Source organism: Homo sapiens, chromosome 2, assembly GCF_000001405.40.
Source record: "Homo sapiens chromosome 2, GRCh38.p14 Primary Assembly".
Lineage (NCBI taxonomy): Eukaryota > Metazoa > Chordata > Mammalia > Primates > Hominidae > Homo > Homo sapiens.
The window spans coordinates 8,959,701-8,985,091 of record NC_000002.12 but is presented as its reverse complement, the minus strand read 5'-3'; the positions used below and the strand labels follow the sequence as shown (position 1 = coordinate 8,985,091).

The window sequence follows — 25,391 nt, the reverse complement described above, 5'->3', positions numbered from 1 at the left end:
TTTTTTTCCCCTGAGGAACTATATGCATATATTTTGAGCCTTACATTTTTTTCTTAGAGGGAAACTAGTCAGGAGTGGGAGGCCTCTGAACAAGCTGCATTCTGTGTAGCCGCCAGCTTTTCTTTCTCTTTCTCCAGGAGAACACTGGCCCTCAGCCCCTCTTTCTGCTTCCCCTTGTTCAGACCATTGGGGGCGACTGGCTTTCCTGTCTGACTCCTCCTGTTTTGGTAATGAAGATAGGGAGGCTGAAGGATTGATATTATTTGGCTCCCTATTTAAAAGGTAGTTATGTAAAATTAAATAAAATTTGGCCAATACCACTTATAACTTTAAGTTGTTGTGGAAATTGATTATTATTCAGAAAAGAGAATTTTAAGTTAATAATATTGGAAGAATTTATGGTTTTTTCTCTTCCCTTCCCTCCCCCCTAGTTCTTTATTTATTTTTAGAGCTTTCTGTACTAGTACATCCTCCCTTTTCTGGGGAGTTGATTTGGGAAATTAGATTTGCAAGAGAATGTATGCTTTTAGAGGATGATGAAAGCCACTTGCGCTCCCACTTAAGGAACACCCTTTTAAGCTCCCTGCATGCCCTTTCTAGACCCCATCCCAGAGAGGAATGACTTCTGGAATATTGTGTTAATCATTTCCTTGCTTTCTTCGTAGTGTTAACCACAAACGTATGTATGTATGTGGTAATAAACATGAAATTTGCCATCGTAACCATCTTTAAGTGCACACAGCTCAGTAGTGATAAGTATATTCACAGTGTTGAGCAGTAGATCCCCAGAACTTTTTCATTTTGCAGAACTGAAGCTGCATATTCATTAAGCAACTCCCTATTTTCCCCTCACCCCAACCCCTGGCCTTTTGTTTCTGTGAAGTTGACTGTTCTAGATACTTCGTGTAAGTGGAAACCTATAGTGTTTGTCTTTTTGTGACTGGTTTAATTTCACTTAGCATATGTTTTCAAGGTTCATTTATGTTTTCACATGTGAGGTATGTTATGGGACCTCATAAAAGTCAGAATTTCTTTCCTTGTAAAAGCTAAATAATATTCTATTCATAGTTCTTAATTTCCATGTGATTGAAATTGTAACATTTTATTCATGATTTGTGATATTTTTGTACCTAGTTTAGGAAAGTCTTCTGTATGCTGAGATTGATTGTAAAGATATCTTCCTATATTATCTTTTTCAGAAATAATTTTTCTTTATTTTAAAACAATATTAAATTCACAGAAAAGTTCCAAGTACAATTTAGAGAATGTTTTCCTGAACCATTTGAGAGTAAGTTGCTGACTCACTGCTCCATCACTTCTGGATACTTTTGTGATATTTCCTACAAAAAAGGACATTCTTCTGTGTAATCTCAAAATGACCATCAAAATTAGGAAAGTAGTAAATTTCTATCATCCAATCTTCAGACTTAAAGTTTTACCAGTTATCACATCAAGTCCTTTTTAGCAACAGGGTCCAGTTTGGAATCATAGGTTGCATTTAGTTCGCATGTCTCTTTAGTCTCCTTAAGTCTGGAACACTCCCTTTATTGAATTGAGAAATATTCCTTCCTCTTCTGTTTTCTGGAAGGGACTGTGTAAAACTGGTATTAATTCTTTTTTAAACATTTGATAGAATTCTCCAGTAAAACCATCTGGGCCTAGAGATGTTTTTTTCTAGATTTTAAATTCCAAAGTGTTTCGTTAACAGTTACAGGGCTGTTTAAATTATCTGTTTCATATTGGGTGAGTTATAGTAGTTCGAGTATGGAATTGGTGCATTTCACCTAAGAAATTTCCATTTTAGCTAATCTGTGTGCAGTTTTATTCTTCCTTACTTTAGATATATTTGTAATGAAAATACAATATGTATTTGTGAAAATATGTATTTTACATCTGTATCATATGATTTCATATCTGTATCATATAATTTGGATCAAGCTCTAGATGCAGCCAGGACCTCAGTGGCAGGCTGTATTCTGCACAGATGGGAGTCTCAGTGACCTGTAAAGTCTGTGGCTTTACACACTTCAGAATTTGCTATGCATGAGTCTCTCTGACTGCGGATAGTTGTATTGTGGCTATTCTGTGCACACACCTTGTTCTATTTCAATTTTTTTCCATGACTTATTATTCAAAACAGTGTGATACAGTGAAAATCAGATCCGCTATGGTCCCTGCCCCCAGGTTGCTTAGAGTCTCTGAGGGGTTATGGAAAAGTAATTAGGAAATTGGGAATCAGAGTGGTTTGTGTTCTGATGAGGAAGGAACAGGTCCTTATGAGAACACAGAAAAGAGGTACCTGTTTTATTCTCCTCTGCATCTCTAGCACCTGGTACAGTACCTGGCATATAGTAGGTGTCTCACTAAATCTTTGTTGAATGAATGAATAAACTCAGAGGTGGGTTGATTGCATGGTCACTTTTGGGGAGATCTTACATCTGAGCTAAGTTAGTGATATCCACTGGAAGTAGATGGATGGAGGGAATTCTCCAAGGTGGGTGCAACAGTACGCAGTGTCATAGAAGCAAAGAAAGCTTAGCAATCTAAACAGTTGTCTAGAGCTGACTGTTTGCAAGTGAGGAGTGGTTTCCAAAAGTGATTACAGACGGAAGGCTAAGAAGAAGTTACTCTGACCAAAGTATATATTGGACAAGGTTCGCGAAGAACTAGAATTGATTTTTATGAATTAGCATTTTTGGTTCTGGCTGTTGTGTTTATCATTGTTAAGTTTAGTTTCTAACATACCTTAAGAATAATGCTTTCCAAGTGAATGAGAAATATTTTTTTGTGAAGTGTAGTACAGCTTTCTCCAGGTCTTACCTACTCGTCTTACTCAGACTATCTTTGCTCTAAAACAAAACTTTCCTATGCTGTAAATATGTCTGTGGTAAATCACGAGTTGACTGCTAATAATGGTGGGTCATACATTAGCGTTTTCATGTGCCAGGTACTGTATTGAGACCCTGCCATGGGTTATCTCGCTTAATCCGGACAGCAGCCTATCTGAGAGGAAACCAAACCTGGGCTCGCTTCCACTTTACAGAAGTAACTAAGGTTTGGGGAAGTTGAGTGGTATGTACCCAGCATCGCTTAGGTAAGCCCACTACTCATATTTGGATCTAAGTCTGTCTGTCTTCATTAACCATTGAGTTTTGTGTGCTCTTTCCAATGTTTCATATGTCTTTTTATTAAATAAAAAAGGCCTGGGATTTAGTTTTGGGTATAGATCTTCAGAAAGTTCATCAGTTAAATATGGAAATAGTTTGTAATGAAATAACATATTAGGACACCCCTAAAGCAAATTACAGAAACCCACTTCAGCTAGCCAACATGGCTGGATACACATAGTCCAACAATAAACACTGTGTTCTTCATCTCTGTCTCCCTTCCTCTCTGTCCTTCCTGTTTCCCCCTCCCTCTTTATCCCACTGCCCTACCCCCTCTCTCATCCTGCTTTTCTTTGAGTGTTGGCCCATTCACTCCTGTCACAGAAGCAGCTCATTTGAAACCAGCTCCACTTGTGATCCTGGGAAGGGAGAGCATCGTCTTCTCTGAGGCTCTGGCAGAAATGCCCTAGGGAAGACTTTTGTTCCTGGGGCCTGTGGCTGTGACAGGACTTTGTGAAACTACATGGAATGGGGCTGTTGGGGGCGACAGCATATCTGTATTTCATCTTGATCAGACATATTTGATGGCTGAAAGCTATAATTATTATGTAAAGATAATGCACAGTATATTTTAATAGCTTTATCAAGATACAGTTCATGTACCATACAACTCACCCATTTAAAGTGTACAATTCAATGGTTTTAATGTACTCAGAGCCATGCAACTATCACTGCTGTCTAACCTGGAACATTTTCATTACAAAAAGAAGCCTTGTACCATTAGCAGTCACTCCCCATTTCCCCAAATCCCTCAGCCCTAAGCAGCCACTCGTCTACTTTCGATCTCTGTAGGTTTGCCTGTTTCGTGTAAGTGGAATCATACAATATGTGGTCTTTTGTATCTGGCTTCTTTCATTATAATATTTTCAAGGTTTATCTATCTTTGCATATCAGTGTGCATTTTTTATTGCCAAATAATATTTCATTATATGGATATGCCACATTTTATTTATGCATCTGTTGATGGACATTTAGGGTGTTTTCACATTTTGGCTATTATGAATAATGCTGCTGTGAACATTTTTGTAGAAGTTTTTGTGTAGATTTAAGTTTTCAGTTATCTTGTGTATATACCTAGGAGTGGAATTGCTGGATCATATGATAACCATGTCTCACATTTTGAGGAACTGTTTTCCAAAGTGGTTGTACTATTTTATATTCCCATCAGCAGTGTGTGGGAGTTCCAGCTTCTCCACATTCTTGTCAACACTTAACGATCTTTTTGATTGTAGGCATCTTGGTGGATGTGAAGTGGTATAGTGCATAATATTTTATAAAAAGGTTGTTTTGTTTTTTGAACAGTTGCCTGTTTACTTGTTTTTGTTGCCTTGTATTGGACCTCTCCCAGTGGGCTCTGAACCTTTTCCACCTCAGTCTAGGTGGCCAGGTAGGCAGACCATGTCACTCAAAGGACCAGAAGTGGATGTTTGCTTGTTTTTCTTTTTCTTTATAAACCTCATAATCTACAAGTGCAGATAGGGATTATTCTTATTTTCTTATTAAGAAACTATGGTATAAAGAGGTTGTAAATGCCAGAGGTTACTTGGTCAGGGCTAGAACAGGGATTTGTCTTTAGGGTTGATTGGGTGGTGTTGAGTTGCTTGCCTCAGATCCGCTGTTGTCAGCCTGCTGTGATGTGGTAGGTGCATTCCTGTGGCACACATTCCCACTGTGTTCACTGTGTTATATGTAGTTCCCACAACCTAGTTGCATCTCTACTGCTGTTTTTCTTAGAAATGTGAGGGCAAGAGTAATATTTCAGGAATAATCTTTATTAAATTGTTCACAAACTTGACTACTTTAATTTTCATTTGTATAAATTACTTGCAGCATACCAAAACTGAGCTACTTTTCTATGATTCACAATTGCTGCCTTTGACTACTTAATTATGGTGACCTTTATCAGCTGTGTAGGGCTATTTAACATTCACCTTGGGGTTGGTATAAAATGTGATATTCTGGCAGTCCATAGTCTGGGATGCACAGATGGTTTTCCATCTGCGGCTTTCTCCCTAGCCCTAAAGAGACACTATTGTTAGGCGTATTAGTAGTGGAGTCTGCGTATCAGGACTCCATGTTGAGTCTTGCGTTGTCAGCACAACATGAAAGAATCTTTGTTGATCACACCTTATGTAAGAATCTATGTTGATCTCTTGCCATCGATTTGCCACATGTCGCTGTATAGTTTGGAAGTCAAAAACGTGTGATTTAGAATTGCTGTTAAACTCATGCTTAATATTATAATGGCATCAAGCAATAGCAAGAAGAGATTACACATATTGGCAGTACCCCCTAAATTTGGAATAATACAATGATCTGCATAAAATAAAAGGAAACATGAGCTTGCAAGTATCTTAACAACACATACTTGTTAAGCTGATAAATGTGGTGGGACTAGGTGCTGGGGGATACAATGAACAAAACAGATAAGAATCACGGTCCTTATAAAATGCACATCCCAGTGATTATTTTAACGATTTCCTAGAAAATCATTCATCATGTGTGACATTGAGGCAAAATAATCTATTGCGATTTTCTTTGGTAGCAATGTCTGGAAACTTTAAAACTCTAAAAAAGAAAAATAAATTAAAAATGCCTAAATTGGTTCATTTAGATAGTGTATTATGTAAGTGATTATTGGTTAAATATCCCAAAGGCAAGATACCACTGATCCCAATCTAATCATTAAAAGTTAGTACTTTTTATATTGACCTGATCCTTCTTGAAAAGTGTACTATTTTAGTGGGAAGCAGTATAATTTCAAAATCAAGTCAACATATCCATAAGTTGATAAGCTGACATTGTATCTAATGGAAATCTGATGATAATGAGGCAGGCCAGTAGAGGAGTTTTTTTGTTCTTTAGAAGCATAATTTGAAGACTTGAAAATTAGTAGCACTGTTGAAATTGACCTTTATTTTTAAATAACAGATAGGTAGTGTGCTGATGTTGTAAAAAAGGTTTGAGGAAAGCACATCTCACACATGAGTGTGGAAACCCAGTCATCACACTTAGGAATTAAAAAAGGATTCAAAATAGACCCCTGCCTCCCCCCACCACCTTTTTTTTTTAAGATGGGTGCTTTTTTAATTTTTATTTTACTGTAAGTTCTGGGATACAAGTGCAGAATGTGCGGGTTTGTTACATAGGTATACGTGTGCCATGGTAGTTTGCTGCACCTGTCAACCCGTCATTTAGGTTTTAGGCTCCGATGCATTAGCTATTTGTCCTAATGCTCTCTCTCCGCTCACTCCCCACCCCCTGACTGGCCCCAGTGTGTGTTTTTCCCCTCCCTGTGTCTATGTGTTCTCATTACTCAACTCAGGTGGATGCCTTTTACCCCATAGACCTAGGCACTTGGAGAGGAATGCTTTCAAGTTAAATTAGGAAAGGATCACAGTTCTTATTTGGGCTAATGCTTCTGATGGTCATAGCAGGAATGAATGAGTGAACAGATAAATTTTATTAGCAAATATAATAAATAAGTAAAATTGTTTACAAGATCATTTTATATAATGAAAAATACCATAAAGTCAGTAACATGGGGTCCATGACAAGTGATTGGGGATGCTTCTTTAGATTGTAAGGTCTGTGAAGCTTTGGAAGATGTTATTTGAGTTGTGAATGGTGAAACATCTGTGTGCATTCCATGTGTGGAGGTGGGGAAGTGTCAGCTTTGGGGTGGAAGTGAGTTGAGTGTGTTGGAGACGGTCAATATATTGGAATATAGCCAGTGAGAGAAACAGTGCGAGATGAGGCTGGAGAGGTGGAAGGGGCCTTGGTCTTTCAGGGCAGAGTAAGGAGCGGAGATTTTATTTTAATCATGGCAGTCTGTAGAATGTTTTAGGGTCTGGGTATTGGTGGCCTCATGTCTGTGGCTGCTGTGTAGGGACTGACTGGTAGAGGCAGGAGAGGAAATGGGGACCTTAAAGAGCTATTGTCCAGATAAGAAGCCATCGCAGCCGTGGAGACAGAGTCCGGGCCAGCTTTGTGATGTGCTTTGAAGATAGAGCTAAGGAACTGAAGCATGGATTCCTTGTGGAGGGCAGGAGATGAGCAGTCAGAGGTTGATTGCAAGGTTTTGGTTGAAGTGTGATGGTGCAGTTACTCACATGGGTCAACTTGGAGGAGAAGTTGGTGGTGAGGGGAATCAGCAGTTCCCTTGTGGCCACAGTAAATTTTAGATACTCATTAGATAGTCAAGTGAGATAGTTTAATGGACAGCCGAATAAATGTCTGAAGTTCATCAGAGAGGTCAAGACTAAAATGACAGAGGAAGGTGTCAGCAACATAGAGCTCACTTCAGAGCCATATAGGACTGGATGAACTCCCCATTAGGGAGTGGGCTCTGCAGTTTACTTCCTTAAACTGAGAAAGTTGGACAGGATGGTCTTTAAGGTCCTCCTTTCCAAAAATTAGATGTTCATCGAGTTCTAAGAGCCTTTGTAAGAAACTTGAAGTGATGAGAATTTTCTCTAAAATGCTCTAGCTTCTTTTAAGCCATTGAAAGGATGAATGGGGAAGAAATACAGACATTTCAGTATTCCACATCTGTATTCATTCCACAATTGCTTGTCCACAAAGTGTGATATGTAACTTCAATGAAATACCCTTCTGAGAGGGAAAGTAATCTCAATCACATTGCAAGGTTTTCAGTTGAACCCAGTGGTGGTCAATGTGAACTTATTTTTATTAAAAAAAAATTTAAACAGCTTTATTGAGGTATAAGTGACACCAAAGCTGTACATAGTAAAAGTGTAAAATTTGGTGTTTTGACATAGGTATCCACCCATAAGGCTGTTACCAGAATAAAGATGATAGACATATCTGACACCCCAACAGTTTCCTTGTGCCCTTCAGTACCGTCTCCCTCCTGCCTCTCCCTGGCCTCCATCCCCAGGCAACCACTGATAAGCTTTTTGTCACTATAGATTAGTTTGGGTTTTCTAGAAATTCATCTAAATAGAATCATATAGTAGGCACTCTTCTCTCTTTCTGGCTTCTTGGACTCCACATAATTATTTTGAGATTCATCCATGCTGTTGTCTGTGTCAATAGTTCATTCCTTTTTATTGCTAAGTAAGTAATATCCTATTGTATGACTATACCAGATTCACTTGTGCAGTCATTATGAAGTTAGACTACTTTCTTTTTCCTTTCAGCAGGTCTTCTGATTTGCTGGTATTATTTGTAACCACCTAAGAGATTAAACGTGTCGATGTGCACACACAGGGAGACACGCTCTGAACGCGCTTTATGGAAGGGTTTCCTTGTTCTGGTATTCATCCCCCTTCTTCCTGTTCAGGGATGGGCTGCTTGGCTTCTCATTTGTCAGAGCAAGCTTGACAGTGTTTGGAGAGGAAGCAGGCCCATCCTTTCTGTGCGTCTGTGTTCTGTGTGATGCTTTGGGATGTGTGTATGTTGTTGAGCCTTACTTATTTTTTATCTGGCTTGTATTTATTTCAGTAGGTCGCCTACTGAAGCTTCATAGTTTAACCCTTCCTTAGGCTTCATAGTTAAGCAGTTGTGGATGCAGTTAATCTAGTACCTTTTAATTTCATAGGAGAGTGTAAATAAATTCCTTCTCAGTTCATAGGAATTTTTTATAGTTGGTTAAGACAGAGATCAAAATGAGACAAGCACTCATTATTAGCCTGGTAGGTAGGTGCCTACCTTTAATCTCTGTGGTGCCTTGATTAAATCGCTCGCTTTCTGCTTCTGTTTCCATGCATTTGGGAAAACTCACTGCTTTTTGGTTTGTATGATGGTCTGAGAATATATTTAGGGATTTGTGAGTTAATCAACCTTTGGGAGTCTGGCTGTTTTTAACAACATATGGATGTCTGGGCTGTAGATTGGCAGTTCTCTGTGCTGTTGTCTGGGGAGGAAGAGGAGAGGATGTTGTGTCTGATGTACAGGCTTGTCCTGCAGAACAGGGCTTCTTGCTGGCTGAACCCAGTGTATTTGGTGTAGGTGGAATTAGAATGGGCAGTGGCCATATAATTCAGGAGATAAGAAAGAGTCTTAAGAGAGGCATGCCAAATAAATCTCTCTACTTTGTGTTCTCATGATGCTATTTCTCTGCCTAACATAAGACTTAGTGGCCATCGTTTTTTTTTTTTTTTTTGTATTGTTCATTTAATTGTCCTCTTTTACTGGCCTGTAAGTTTTGTGAGTGCGGGGACAACCATGGCTGTGGTGTTCATCCATTGTACCTATACAAGAAGTGTTTACAGAATGTTGATAGAATGTGTCCTTACGCTTCATGTATTTATTTTACATTTGTGGTTATAAAGTTTCTAGTTGTAGCAATTAATGTTTCCCTTTAGGAAAGATGGAAGATAAATATGAGCTGTTGTATTAGTCTGCTCCCCTTGATTTTAAGCAAACTCTTGAGGCATGATTCTTGCCCCCACGTGCTCATCCCCATTTTCCTTTCAGTGAATGAAAGGCACAGATAGAGCCAGGCCTTCCACTCAGGGATTGGTAGTAATGCATAGATGAATAAAATTTGTTCCCAAGCCATCAGAAGCTCACAATCAAAAAGGAAAGTCAGACTCACAGGCCAGTGAGTGACGGTTTAATATAAGCACGTACAGAAATTACTTTAAAAGTATTTTGGGATCCCAAAAAGTATGAATAAAGGTTCTACTTTCTAGGTTGAAGAGGTGGGTAGAAGTGACCCCATTAAGTAAAATAGGAGATCCAGGAGGAAACGAGGCAGATTTGGTAAGATGGTGGCATTGGTCAGGTACAAGTGCAGTAAATAATTCAGTTTTTGGATGTTTTCAGTTTGAGTTTTGTGCAGAGTGTTATTCTTTCTAGGTAATCTGTAGATTTTTGTGTTGGTTTATAGAAAGCACTTTCCCCAGTTGGTAGCTTTGAATTCATCTTCATTGTTTGTGAGGAGGCTATACTTTTGGATTAGATATTCTCCATTACCTTACTAAAGTTGGCTCTAAGTGGTAGAGCCAACTTTCTGCTTACATTATGCTTGGAAAAAGTGCTTTTTCTGTGGCAATGGCCTAGAAATGCCTAGGATGAAAATGCTTGCATCCTTTAAGGTGTGGTTGCCATTGCATAAAATTTAGTGGGATGAAACGAGCAGATTCAGTATAGGGAGATGAGGTAATTACTATCTTAAATTTTGGTGCTTAGCTTCTTGTTTGGAAATTTGAAAGCAAGCATGTATTATTTTAAAAAATCATCTATTTGGGAGTAGATAATAAATGCCCATGAAATATCAAGGGAGATAGGTACATAATGAAAAAATAAGTCTCACTTTTACCACATCCTCCACCCTCAGAGGCTGCCATTGTTTCCAGTTACTGGGTATCCTTCCAGAGATATTCCGCTGGAGACGTCTGTTACCTCTTGGAAATACAGAGATAGCATGCTTTCTGGATTGGTTAATTCAGTGGCTCAGCAACCTCATCAAGGCCTGGGTTCTTTAATCTTTCTGTTCTGCTTTCTTATTTATTTCTCCTAGGCTGCCCGCCACATGATTCCCGGGTGTCTTTCCCCTTCCGTGTGTCTCACGTACCTGGCAGAGTCCACAGGCGAAAAGCAAGTATCTTTGTTGTATCCCTTTTTAAGAGTGAGGAAGACTTTCCCAGTAATCCCTAGCCATATTTCTCATTGAACAGAATTGCAGCACAGTTACATTCCCAGAATTAGTTGTTGGTGATGATTGGCTGAGACCAGTCACTATTCATCCCATGAGACTAGTGAAGAGTCTAGCTTTTCTTAAAACACATGACTGCCTGGTCTGGTTACTGAACAACATCTGGGTTCTTTTAGCAAGGAGAAAGTATACTGCTATGGGGTATCTAAAAGATCATTTCATCTTAGTACTTGGTACTTGGTACAGGGCTGCCTCATTCTTTGTGATGGCTAGAGAGCATTCATTCCATTCACTTCATGTACCATGCTTTAGTAGTCTCTGTCTTTTCCAATTTTGATATTATCACTGTGCTGCAGTACATGTTTATAAATGTAAATACATCGTCTTCCCTATTTCCAAATTGTTCACTATTAACGTTATGTCAGTATATATTAAATACTTCCACCAACAATGTTTAGTGTGCCTGTTTCCTTATACACTTGACAGTACAGAATACTGCTGAAGTCTATCTGATAGATGAAAATGTTATTTTACTTTGATTTTAATTTCCGTTTCTTGTATTATAGGGTTTGGGCATCTTTTCTTAGGAATGAATCATTTGTGATTCTTTTTCTGAGACCTGACTGTGCCTATGCTCTGCCTACTTTTCTATTATACTGTTTTTATTATTGATATGTGGGAGCTTCCGATAGATTAAAGAAATTAGCTCTTGGTGATATGACTTATATTGTTGCTTTTTTTTTTTTTTAGCTTGAGTTACTTTTATTTATTTATTTATTTTTATTATACTTTAAGTTCTAGGGTACATGTGCACAATGTGCAGGTTTGTTACATATGTATACATGTGCCATGTCGGTGTGCTGCACCCATTAACTCGGCATTTACATTAGGTATATCTCCTAATGCTATCCCTCCCCCCTCCCCCCACCCCACGACAGGCCCCGGTGTGTGATGTTCCCCTTCCTGTGTCCAAGTGTTCTCATTGTTCAGTTCCCACCAATGAGTGAGAACATGCAGTGTTTGGTTTTTTATCCCTGTGATAGTTTGCTGAGAACGATGGTTTCCAGCTTCATCCATGTCCCCACAAAGGACATGAACTCATCCTTTTTTATGGCTGCATAGTATTCCATGGTGTATATGTGCCACATTTTCTTAATCCAGTCTATCATTGATGGATATTTAGGTTGGTTCCAAGTCTTTGCTATTGTGAATAGTGCCACAGTAAAAATATGTGTGCATTTATCTTTATAACAGCATGATTTATAATCCTTTGGGTATATACCCAGTAATGGGATGGCTGGGTCAAATGGTATTTCTAGTTCGAGATCCTTGAGGAATCGTCACATTGTCTTCCACAATGGTTGAACCAGTTTACAGTCCCATCAACAGTGTAAAAGTGTTCCTGTTTCTCCACATCCTCTCCAGCACCTGTTGTTTCCTGACTTTTTAATGATTGCCATTCTAACTGGTGTGAGATGGTATCTCATTGTGGTTTTGATTTGCATTTCTCTGATGGCCAGTGATGATGAGCATTTTTTCATGTGTCTGTTGGCTGCATAAATGTCTTCTTTTGAGAAGTGTCTGTTCATGTCCTTCGCCCACTTTTTGATGGGGTTGTTTGTTTTTTTCTTGTAAATTTGTTTGAGTTCTTTGTAGATTCTGGATATTAGCCCTTTGTCAGGTGAGTAGATTGCAAAAATTTTCTCCCATCCTGTAGGTTGCCTGTTCACTCTGATGGTAGTTTCTTTTGCTGTGCAGAAGCTCTTTAGTTTATTTAGATCCCATTTGTCAATTTTGGCTTTTGTTGCCACTGCTTTTGGTGTTTTAGACATGAAGTCCTTGCCCATGCCTATGTCCTGAATGGTATTGCCTAGGTTTTCTTCTAGGGTTTTTATGGTTTTCGGTCTAACATTTAAGTCTTTAATCCATCTTGAATTAATTTTTGTATAAGGTGTAAGGAAGAGATCCAGTTTCAGCTTTCTACATATGGCTAGCCAGTTTTTCCAGCACCATTTATTAAATAGGGAATCCTTTCCGCATTTCTTGTTTTTGTCAGGTTTGTCAAAGATCAGATGGTTGTAGATGTGTGGTATTATTTCTGAGGGCTCTGTTCTGTTCCATTGGTCTATATCTCTGTTTTGGTACCAGTACTATGCTGTTTTGGTTACTGTAGCCTTCTAGTATAGTTTGAAGTCAGGTAGCGTGATGCCTCCAGCTTTATTCTTTTGGCTTAGGATTGTCTTGGCTATGTGGGCTCTTTTTTGGTTCCATATGAACTTTAAAGTAGTTTTTTCCAATTCTGTGAAGAAAGTCATTGGTAGCTTGATGGGGACGGCATTGAATCTATAAATTACCTTGGGCAGTATGGCCATTTTCACAATATTGATTCTTCCTACCCATGAGCATGGAATGTTCTTCCATTTGTTGGTATCCTCTTTTATTTCGTTGAGCAGTGGTTTGTAGTTCTCCTTGAAGAGGTCCTTCACATCCCTTGTAAGTTGGATTCCTAGGTACTTTATTCTCTTTGAAGCAATTGTGAATGGGAGTTCACTCATGATTTGGCTCTCTGTTTGTCTGTTATTGGTGTATAGGAATGCTCGTGATTTTTGCACATTGATTTTGTATCCTGAGACTTTGCTGAAGTTGCTTATCAGCTTAAGGAGATTTTGGGCTGAGACGATGGGGTTTTCTAAATATACAATTATGTTATCTGCAAACAGGGACAATTTGACTTCCTCTTTTCCTAACTGAATACCCTTTATTTCTTTCTCCTGCCTGATTGCCCTGGCCAGAACTTCCAACACTGTGTTGAATAGGAGTGGTGAGACAGGGCATCCCTGTTTTGTGCCAGTTTTCAAAGGGAATGTTTCCAGTTTTTGTCCATTCAGTATGAAATTGGCTGTGGGTTTGTCATAAATAGCTCTTATTATTTTGAGATACGTCCCATCAGTACCTAATTTATTGAGAGTTTTTAGCACGAAGGGCTGTTGAATTTTGTCAAAGGCCTTTTCTGCATCTGTTGAGATAATCATGTGGTTTTTGTCGTTGGTTCTGTTTATGTGCTGGATTATGTTTATTGATTTGCATATGTTAAACCAGCCTTGCATCCCAGGGTTGAAGCCCACTTGATCATGGTGGATAAGCTTTTTGGTGTGCTGCTGGATTCGGTTTGCCAGTATTTTACTGAGGATTTTTGCATCGACGTTCATCAGGGATATTGGTCTAAAAGTCTCTTTTTTTCTTGTGTCTCTGCCAGGCTTTGGTATCAGGATGATCCTGGCCTCATAAAATGAGTTAGGGAGGATTCCCTCTTTTTCTATTGATTGGAATAGTTTCAGAAGGAATGGTACCAGTTCCTCCTTGTACCTCCGGTAGAAATTGGCTGTGAATGTGTCTGGACTTTTTTTGGTTGGTAAGCCATTAATTATTGCCCCAATTTCAGAACCTGTTATTGGTCTATTCAGAGATTCAACTTCTTCCTAGTTTAGTCTTGGGAGGGTGTATGTGTCGAGGAATTCATCCATTTCTTCTAGATTTTCTAGTTTATTTGTGTAGAGGTGTTTATAGTATTCTCTGATGGTAGTTTGTATTTCTGTGGGATCGGTGGTGATATCCCCTTTATCATTTTTTATTGTGTCTGTTTGATTCTTCTCTCATTTCTTCTTTATTAGTCTTGCTAGTGGTCTATCAACTTTGTTGATCTTCCAAAAAACCAGCTGCTGGATTCATTGATTTTTTTTGAAGGGTTGTTTGTGTCTCTATCTCCTTCAGTTCTGCTCTGATCTTAGTTATTTGTTGCCTTCTGCTAGCTTTTCAGATTGTTTGCTCTTGCTTCTCTAGTTCTTTTAATTGTGATGTTAGGGTGTCAATTTTAGATCTTTCCTGCTTTCTCTTGTGGGCATTTAGTGCTATAAATTTCCTTCTACACACTGCTTTGAATGTGTCCCAGAGATTCTGGTATGTTGTGTCTTTGTTCTCATTGGTTTCAAAGAACATCTTTATTTCTGCCTTCATTTCGTTATGTACCCAGTAATCATTCAGGAGCAGGTTGTTCAGTTTCCATGTAGTTTAGTGGTTTTGAGTGAGTTTCTTAATGCTGAGTTGTAGTTTGATTGCACTGTGGTCTGAGAGACAGTTTGTTATAATTTCTGTTCTTTTACATTTGCTGAGGAGTGCTTTACTTCCAACTATGTGGTCAATTTTGGAATAAGTGTGATGTGGTGCTGAGAAGAATGTATATTCTTTTGATTTGGGGTGGAGAGTTCTGTTAGATGTCTATTAGGTCCACTTGGTGCAGAGCTGAGTTCAATTCCTGGATATCCTTGTTAACTTTCTGTTTTGTTGATCTGTCTGATGTTGACAGTGGGTGTTAAAGTCTCCCATTATTATTGTGTGTGAGTCTAAGTCTGTTTGTAGGTCTCTAAGGACTTGCTTTATGAATCTGGGTGCTCCTGTATTGGGTGCATATATATTTAGGATAGTTAGCTCTTCTTGTTGAATTGATCCCTTTACCATTATATAATGGCCTTCTTTGTCTCTTTTGATCTTTGTTGGTTTAAAGTCTGTTTTATCAGAGACTAGGATTGCAAGCCCTGCCTTTTTTTGTTTTCCATTTGCTTGGTAGATCTTCCTCCATCCCTTTATTTTGAGCCTACGTGTGTCTCTGCACATGAGATGGGTCTCCTGAATACAGCACACTGGTGGGTCTTGACTCTGTCCAATTTGCCAGTCTGTGTCTTTTAAATGGAGCATTTAGCCCATTTACATTTAAAGTTAATATTGTTATGTGTGAATTTGATCCTGTCATTAAGATGTTAGCTGGTTATTTTGCTCATTTGTTAATGCAGTTTCTTCCTAGCATCGATGGTCTTTACAATTTGGCATGTTTTTGCAGTGGCTAGTACTGGTTGTTCCTCTCCATGTTTAGTGCTTCCTTCAGGAGCTCTTTTAGGGCAGGCCTGGTAGTGACAAAATCTCTCAGCATTTGCTTGTCTGTAAAGTATTTTATTTCTCCTTCACTTATGAAGCTTAGTTTGGCTGGATATGAAATTCTGGGTTGAAAATTCTTTTCTTTAAGAATGTTGAATATTGGCCCCCACTCTCTTCTGGCTTGTAGAGTTTCTGCCGAGAGATCCGCTGTTAGTCTGATGGGCTTCCCTTTGTGGATAACCCGACCTTTCTCTCTGGCTGCCCTTAACATTTTTTCCTTAATTTCAACTTTGGTGAATCTTACAATTATGTGTCTTGGAGTTGCACTTCTCGAGGAGTGGCATTCTCAGTATTTCCTGAATTTGAATGTTGGCCTGCCTTTCTAGGTTGGGGAAGTTCTTCTGGATAATATCCTGCAGAGTGTTTTTCCACTTGGTTCCATTCTCCCCGTCACTTTTAGGTACACCAGTCAGACGTAGATTTGGTCTTTTCACATAGTCCCATATTTCTTGGAGGCTTTTTTCGTTTCTTTTTACTCTTTTTTCTCTAAAGTTCTCTTCTCGCTTCATTTCATTCATTTGATCTTCAATCACTGATACCCTTTCTTCCAGTTGTTCGAATTGGCTACTGAAGCTTGTGCATTCATCACCTAGTTCTTATGCCATGGTTTTCAGCTACATCAGGTCATTTAAGGACTTCTCTACACTGGTTATTCTAGTTAGCCATTCGTCTAATCTTTTTTCAAGGTTTTTAGCTTCTTTGTGATGGGTTCAAACTTCCTCCTTTAGCTCAGAGAAGTTTGATCGTCTGAAGCCTTCTTCTCTCAACTCGTCAAAGTCATTCTCCATCCAGCTTTGTTCCATTGCTGGCGAGGAGCTGCATTCCTTTGGAAGGGGAGAGACACTCTGATTTTTAGAATTTTCAGCTTTTCTGCTCTGTTTTTTCCCCATCTTTGTGGTTTTATCTACCTTTGGTCTTTGATGATGGTGACATACAGATGGGGTTTTGGTGTGGATGTCCTTTCTGTTTGTTAGTTTTCCTTCTAACAGTCAGGACCCTCAGCTGCAGGTCTGTTGGAGTTTGCTGGAGGTCCACTCCAGACCCTGTTTTCCTGGGTATTAGCAGCAGAGGCTGCAGAACAGCAAATATTGCTGAACAGCAAATGTTGCTGCCTGATCGTTCCTCTGGAAGCTTTGTCTCAGAGGGATACCTGGCCATGTGAGGTGTCAGTCTGCCCCTACTGGGGGGTGCCTCCCAGTTAGGCTTCTCGGGGGTCAGGGACCCACTTGAGGAGGCAGTCTGTCTGTTCTCAGATCTCAAACTCCGTGCTCGAAGAACCACTACTCTCTTCAGAGCTCAGTTGGAAATGCAGAAATCACCTGTCTTCTGCGTCACTCACTCTGGGAGCTGTAGACTGGAGCTGTTCCTATTCGGCCATCTTGGAACTGCCTACTATTGCTTTTAAGTTTGTTGTTTGTCCTTTGACTTTGTTTATGGTGTTTTGCCCATGAAGGAATTTTTTATATTTATGTGATGAAGTTGTATCTAATTTTTTTTATTGTTTCCAAAGTTTGTGTTATACTCAAAATATTTCAGATATTATCTTTATCATATTCTGAATACCCATTATGTGTTTGGATCTATCACTGGAATTCTAGTTATATTTCACTGATCTGTCTGTTCGTCTGTTCATCATTCTAGGTTCTAAAAAATGTGTTCTAGTCTGTGAAAGGAAGGTCATAAATTTTCTGGCTATCTCACATGTTTATATTTCAATATTAGTTTTAAAATCAAATTTTATTTTTTAAAAATCCTATTGACATTTTTATTGTATGGACTTAAATTTAATGATTAACATAGGGAGAAAGTAACATCTTTATGATTCCGAGTCTTCCCATCCAAGAATGTTTTGCGTTTCCATTTATTCGAGTGAAGCTCTTTGAGCAGGGTATCTGCTTTGGACAGTTTTGTGAACCTCTGTTTCATTAGAGCCATTACATATTTTTTGTGTCTATTTATTACAGTACATAGTGTTACTGTTAATAATACATAAGGTTTAATAAAAAACTAAAAGTCAGTATCTGTGTAACCACCCTGGGCAAAAAGTAGAAACATTACCAGCCCACAAAATCCCTTGTTGTCTGTCACTATTATAACCCGTTCTCTCCCTTCATACGTAAACACTTCAGTGACTTCAGTGATTGTCATTTTCATGTCAATTATGTAGGCATTCCCAGACAGTATGGTTTATTGCTTGCTTTTTGGAACTTTTTGTGAAGTACATTTATATGTTGTATATATATTCCTCTGAATTGACTTGAGATGTATGGATTCTTCTAGAAATTATAGTTTCTTCATCTTCGTTGTTCTGTGTGATTTCCCATTGTACAGATAAACCAGAATATATTTAGCCATTTTGCTGTTAAAGGTTTTATTTTTCCTTGGCATTTGGCTATTATGAACAACATTGTATTGAACATTCTTGTACATGCCTCTCCTAGTCCCCATGTTAGACACATGGGTATTGGAGTGCTCTGTCATGGGTAGGACTATTTTCAATCCTGTAAGAAAATACTGAATTTTTTTCTAAAGCACTTGTTGACCACGTATGAGAAATCCCATTGCTCTACATTGTAGTCTGCATTTGGTATTGTGACACTAAACTTTTGGCAATCTGGTGGATGTGTAATGATGTCGTATTTGGCTTTGTTTTATCTCATAAAGATGTAAAAAATGGTTCTTTCCTTTGCCTTTGGGCCCTATCATCTTTACTTAACTGGCTGCGAGGTTGGTTGATGAGGACTCTTGTTTTCCAAACGTAGCTGCACGTAAGTTTTGCCTGGGAAATTAAAAACAAAAAAAATAATTCAAGGTCTCATTTCAGACTGGGGAATAAAAAGTTACGGAGCTAGAATCCAATAATCTGTTTCTAACTAGCTGTCAGATGATTTTTACACAGCTAAACTTCCACAGATAAGATTCCAGCACAGGGCGCTTGAAACTGAAGGTTGTTCTGTCTGTCTATACTATGTCTTCTTAGTCTGGTGAGTATTTGGCAGTCAAGACACACCTCAATTTGGAATAACCACATATAAGTGCTCATAGCCACATGGGGCCAGTGACTATTGCATTGAACAATGCAGATCTGTTCAGAAAATTGCTCAGCAATAAGTGTATAGTTTGTTACGCATTTTGAACTTTGATATACACTTTGATCTTTCACATCAGGTTGTATACTTCACGCCTCCTCACTCCCCTTTCCATCAATGCAGGGTCTCACAAAGACTGGCTGTTCACCTTGGGAGGGACTGGTTAAGAATATGTTATCAAAAATCCGTTAATGTTATTTTTAAAAATTAGAACATATTTTGTATTCCATCAGTAGAGATGTGGATGTAACAATTGATTTTTTGGGGCTGTTTTTATTGATTTGTTGAAGATTGTAATCACTTTGCGCTATATTGAAATTTAAGGTTTTTTTACTCCAAAATTATTATAGGTTAATTTTTGGCTTAGTGTAGAATGCTTAATTCTGATGTGGAGATAATTAACAAGCTTTTGTTGGGCACGTGTGGCAGTTGATGGGCGTGTGGCTAGTGGCTATCATATTTGAACAGTGCAGATCTTTTCAGAAGATTGCTCAATTACATATAAGTGTATGGTTTGATATGCATTTTAAATACCCTAGAAACTCCTTTCTCGTGTTCTAGTAAGAGGGAGGAAATTTAAAGCATATAAAGCTGGAGAAAATATACATATAAAGCTGGAGAAAATATACAATCTTTTGTGGAGACAGAATGTAAATTTGTGGATAACATTTTTGTATTTTTTAACCACATGTTAATTAAAGTGTAAGCACCCTTAGTAAAAATTTAAAAATGATAAGATCAGGTTCAACTTTGGAACTAAAAGGAAAAAAGTGTAAGATGGAGATCGCAGAGGTTGAGGTCCCACATCTGCTGTACTTGCTGTTTCCTTTTAAAGTAGAGATAACACTGATCTCACATGAGCATTGAGGATACCTTAGGTTTCGTGAAATGTAATAAAATTTATTACACAGGAATGGAAAATGTTAGCACTGGGAGCGCTAAGGTATTTGGTTTAAGTAGGAAATAGGTATAGATAAATGTTTTAATGCCGTAAGTGGAAAATTCAGAATTCCTGGTTTCTCTTACTCAATGATATAATTACACTTGAACTATTTTCTGTTTTTTAAAAAAACTAAACCAAGAAGTACATTGATGCGTGTCCATGTATTCGTGTAATACAGTTGTATGTATACTGCAAAAATAAAAAGCTAAAGAGCTCACAGACTGTAAAGGAAATCACTATTGGAAAAGACACCATAAACAAAGATACAAGACTAAGCTGTAGACTGAGAGAGATGCTATTTGCAAAAGATCAGTTTCAGATATATAAAGAATTCTTTTTAAAGAAGTCAATGAGAAAAAGACAAGCTGATAGAATAATGGGCAAAGGATATAAAGGGAAAACTAAATGTCCAATAGACATAAGAAAAATGTTCATCCTGGCTAGTAATCAGGAGAAATACACATTTAAAAAATAGAGAAATAATGTTTTATATTTATTAGCTTGGCAAAAATTAGTAGTCTGACAGTACCAAGTGTTGTCAAGAATATGGAGCAGTGGAACTCACATTGCTGATAAATAATTAGGAGAGCAATTTAGCAATACTTAGTCAAGTGGATGTTGCTTGACTTGGAGGTTCTACTCTGGGTATTAACACAATGAAATATAATACACAAGATGAGTAAATAAGGTAGAGCCATGTGTATCAACATAGATAAATGTCAGCAATGTAATATTAAGTGAAAAAAATTGCAGAAGCTTACGTTCAGTTTTACACCATTTTTAGTTTAAAATATTCAAAGCAATGCAATATGTAAATTAGTCAAGTGGATGTTGCTTGACTTGGAGGTTCTACTCTGGGTATTAACACAATGAAATATAATACACAAGATGAGTAAATAAGGTAGAGCCATGTGTATCAACATAGATAAATGTCAGCAATGTAATATTAAGTGAAAAAAATTGCAGAAGCTTACGCTCAGTTTTACACCATTTTTAGTTTAAAATATTCAAAGCAATACAATATGTAAAATACACAAGTAGCAAAAGTATAAAAATATGCACGAGAATACTGCAGCAAACTTAAGGCTGGTAGTTACTCTTTGTGGGAGGGGTGGAAGGAATAGGGCCAGAGGAGGGGTTTGCACAGGAGGCTTCATTGTACGTGTAGTATTAGAAATACTGGAATATTTCAAGTCCCTGTCGTTCTCCATTACCTCCTTCCTAGAGGTGACAGCATCTAATGGTTTAGTGTCTAGTGTTTCTGGGCCTGTGCATATGGAAGTAGAATAGCATGGGCTCTGGAGTAAGGGTACCTGGTTGTGCAAGGTGGCTGTGATTATTACATGAACCCCTTCTTGTAAAGCACAGTGCGCTGCACTGCCTGGCACACATCTGGTATCTACTGAGCACCTACAGTTAGTGAAGTATGGTATATATAAATGGACTATATGGACACTATATTAATGTCTAGCACATAGTAAAAGCATAGTAGGCTCATAATTACAGAATAAATGCATATTTAATAAATGAATGTATATACATAGTTTGGATTTTTCTTCTACAACTCGTAACTTTCACTTACTAGTATTTCTTGGTAATCTTCCATATCAAAATATACAGATTTATATAATTATTTTCACCACATTTTAAAAAATCTAATTTTAATTTTTAGTTTCAGGTTGGGTGTGGTGGCTCATGCCTATAATCCCAGCACTTTGGGAGGCCAAGGCGGGTGGATCACTTGAGGTCAGAAGTTCAAGACCGCCTGACCAACATGGAGAAACCCCATCTCTACTAAAAATACAAAAATTAGCCGGGCGTGGTAGTGCATGCCTGTAATCCCAGCTGCTTGGGAGGCTGAGGCAGGAGAATCACTTGAACCCGGGAGGCAGAGGTTACAGTGAGCTGAGATCGTGCCACTGCACTCTAGCCTGGGCAACAAGAGCAAAATTGTCTCAAAGAAAAAAAAATTAGTTTCTTTTTGTGACTTTCGGGTTAGTTTTTTCCCTCCCCCTGCCCCCCCGCCTCAATTTTTTTTTTTTGAGACAGGCTCTCACTCTGTTGCCTAGGCTGGAATGCAGTGGCGTGATCACAGCTCACTGCAACCTTGACCTCCAAGGCTCAAGCAATCCTTCCACCTCACCTCCCCAGTAGCTGGGACTACTGGTGTGCACCACCATGCCCAGCTAATTTTTGTATTTTTTTGTAGAGATGGGGTTTCACCATGTTGCCCAGGCTCAAACTCCTGGATTCAAGTGATCTTCCTGTCTTGGCCTCCCAAAGTGTTGGGATTGTAGGTAGGAGCCACCTCGCTCGGCCCTGATCTTTGAACTGATGTTTATCTTTCTCCTACTGGCGTTTAGGAGTTCTTTCTACCTTTTGAATACTAACTCTTTGTTACATATCCCATGTGTGTATATAGGTTCTTTTTCCTTCCACATTGTTACTTAGGATGTTTTTAGTTTTTTTGTTGTTGTTGTTTTGTAGAAGTTTTTAATTTTTATGAGTAAATCCATTCAATATATAAAATTTATATTAAATTATTGTTATATCACATAAGATTATAATCTCTTACATTCTTGTCTAGGATATATATATATATAGTTTTAGTTTTCATAGCTAGGTTATGCTGCAGTAATAAACTATCTCCAAATCTCACAGGCTCAAACCACCAAAGGTCCCTCTTGCTACTTGCCCACTCATGGACTGGCAGGGTAATTTGCACCTCAGCATTTCTGGAACATTGCAGATAGAACAACTCTGAAGATTCTTGTTCTGGCAGTTAAGTGTTCTGGCCGAGAAGCAACACACATCACTTCTGCTAACAATTCACCAACCAAAACTCGTCCCCACAAGGGACTAGGAAATACATCCTCTGTCTACCCAGAAGGAGAAGAGAATCAGATATAGGTGACTGGTACTAAAGACCATCACAGTTGTTTATGGACCATTATTCTGTTTGGGGTTTGTTTTTAAATGTGGTAGGCAGTATAATGCAGTGGTCAGGAATTCAAATTCTAGATCTAGACTACCTGATTTGTAACGAGTTACACTAGTTAAACTGTTTCAGTCTCGGTAAATGGAGATAATAGTAGAGTTCTCCTCATAGGGTTATTGTGAAGATTAAATAGATTATAAATGTAAGGTGCTTAGAGTGTTGTGTCAGCTTGGGTCCTCTGAGGAGCAGGTGCCAAGGAGCAATTAGATGAGCAAGTGATGAGCTGGGGAAGTTGTCTATGAGACAGTGCTCTGGGGAGCTGGCAGAAGGGAGAGCTGCGGACTGCAGGACAGTCCCCTCTGGAGGAGAGGGGGAAGGAAGGAAGGCTGGGCAGGGGGAGGCACAGGCTGTAGGGAGTATGGCCTTGGCATGAATCTGGGCAGGGAGCCTGGCTGTGGAGAAGTGAAGTTCTAAGGAGGTCCCAGCATGGCCTTGGCATGAGCCTGGTGATGGGTATCAAGTGTGCTGCAGATGATGCTCTTGGTCAATTATGCCCCCTGCGGGTGGAGATTTGAGGGGTGTGTACTCATACCTGCCACATAAGCACACGATTAATATTAACAACGTGGCTTATGAAACAGGAGTGTAACTTGGTTTTTACCAAAAGGAAAACCAGTTACCCCAGTTACATTAATTGGATAATCTAGGTTTGTTTTTCCTACTGATGGGAAATATCTAGCTTTTTTTTTTTCCCTACTGATGGGAAATGGAAATGCTGCTTCTCTGTAGATGTGAAATGCTCTATTTGTGTAACAGTCCCCTGTGGATGGCCCTGTGCATGTGTGCTCTGACAGTGTGTAGTGGATCTTCATGTGTGCCTAAGCCTCTTGTGCTTTTGTGCACTTTATCTGGGGTAAAGTTGTAAATGTTCAGTTTCTTGGTAAAGGATATTATGTTTTAAGTTTTGGTGGCCATTGTCCAATTTTCTTTAAAGAGCTGCCCCAAGTTACAGTCAGATTAACAGTGTAGAGCACCAGCTTTCTCATGTCCCCAGCAGCACTGAGAGGCGGAAGATAGTGCCTCACTGATGGTTTATTTCACACTTCGTTACTTATGGTTGAGAGAGAATATTTTTCAGATTTTATTGGACATTGATATTTGTAAATTGTTCATTCCTTTTGCCCAGTTTTCTATTGAGTGGTTCATAGTTTCTCATGGGTATCCAAGAGTTCTGGATATGTAGAGGTGGAGGGTCAATCTCATCACTTCCTTGTTTTAAAAATCTTCCATGGTTTTGTCATCACTATGGGCTCAAACGCCGTGGTGTGGCATACAAAGCCCTCACTTCTGAACCACCCTGCTTCCAGCCTCATCTCCCATGATCCCTGGCCACGCGGTGCGTTTGCGCTTTCATGTCCAAGTGCTTCCTTCATGTTGTTTTCTTCCTTACAATGCCCTTTCCCTTATTGTCCAACAGAGTGCTTCTCACACCTTGAGGATCATAAGAACCTGTGTTTCCATTTTATTTTTTATACATATTTTTGGGCCTATCTCCCCAAAGACTTTGATTCAGTGTCCAGTGTGAGGCCTGATCTCATTTTCTTTATCTGAACGATGACAATGTTGAAAAGAGATGATTTCAAAGATTCTGTAAAATCCTGTATGTGTGTGGTCCTTGACATACTCTTTCTTGGAAGGAATCATACTTTGTCTTGTAATGTATGAATAGACTGATATGGAATGGGGGAAGGGAAGCTGCCCCCTCCTATGGTTGTGGAGATCAGCGGGATTGGGAAATGCTGCCCGCCCTGCTTACCCCTCACATCCTTTGTGGCAGGCACCCCTTCAGGCGTGCTCTTCTGTGGTGTCTTGAAGGATGTTCTATATAACCATTAAAAAGACTCTGATGTTGGGTTGACGTTCCTTCTGTATATGTTTATGTTTTCCATTAGGTTCTAAAGTCATCCTGAGCTAGGACTGGGACTCATGCATGTTTAGATTTCCCATGTTTGCCCATAGTAGATGCTCAGTAAATTTTTGTTATAATAATTAAATTAGGAGCTATCTGAAAAAGAAAGAAATAAGAGATACTTGAAACAAAGTTTTAAACTGTAAGAAGCCATGTAGATGTGAGTAGTTAATATGAAGAACACAAATTTTTCCATTCTATTCACTTTTTGCTTAATTAAAAAAAATGCCATTAGAACCCTTTAGAAGGCAGGAAGTATTAGAACCTTTTGGAAAGACATTTTGCTTTTATTGAGTCTGTTTTAAAGAACAATTGTTTCTTAGACAGTGTACAACAACGTTCTACTGTTTTTCTCCTTGATATGTGAGAAAGAGAACATACTTGTCTGTGTCTTTAGGCAGAGATATTTCTATGGGTCTATGGAAATAGCTACATGTAGATAGTGTGATTTGTTCACAATTTAGGTGCCTGAAACACTGATTGTTTTGTTATGTATTTTTTTTGCAGGTTCCTAATGTCAATGGATTTTTTCCTTTATTTATAGACTTTAAGGCCTATTATTCCTAAGATTCTATGAGAATATGTTTCATAAGGGAGAAATGGAGATTTTGGCCAGGTGTGATTGTTCATGCCTATTATCCCAGCACTTTGGGAGGCAGAGGCAGGCAGATT

The 25,391-nt window shown here is 38.7% G+C and overlaps 1 protein-coding gene and 1 non-coding gene across 14 annotated transcripts in view; one reads left to right on the top strand and one right to left on the bottom strand.

Annotated features, from left to right (window-relative positions):
* The window catches only part of MBOAT2 (membrane bound glycerophospholipid O-acyltransferase 2), a 150,995-nt gene that overhangs the window by 18,593 nt on the left and 107,011 nt on the right, over positions 1–25,391 (top strand). For 2 of the 13 annotated variants that reach the window (NR_135603.2, NM_001321267.2), the window contains exon 2: positions 10,657–10,733. The exons of the other annotated variants lie outside the window; for them this stretch is intronic. The gene's annotated coding sequence lies outside the window, so the exon portion shown is untranslated. The remainder of the gene's footprint in view (positions 1–10,656; positions 10,734–25,391) is intronic. 13 annotated transcript variants of the gene reach the window in all.
* LOC124906167 (small nucleolar RNA U13) lies at positions 6,093–6,197 on the bottom strand. Its single transcript, XR_007088755.1, has one exon. It is a non-coding gene; the product is annotated as a small nucleolar RNA U13 (small nucleolar RNA).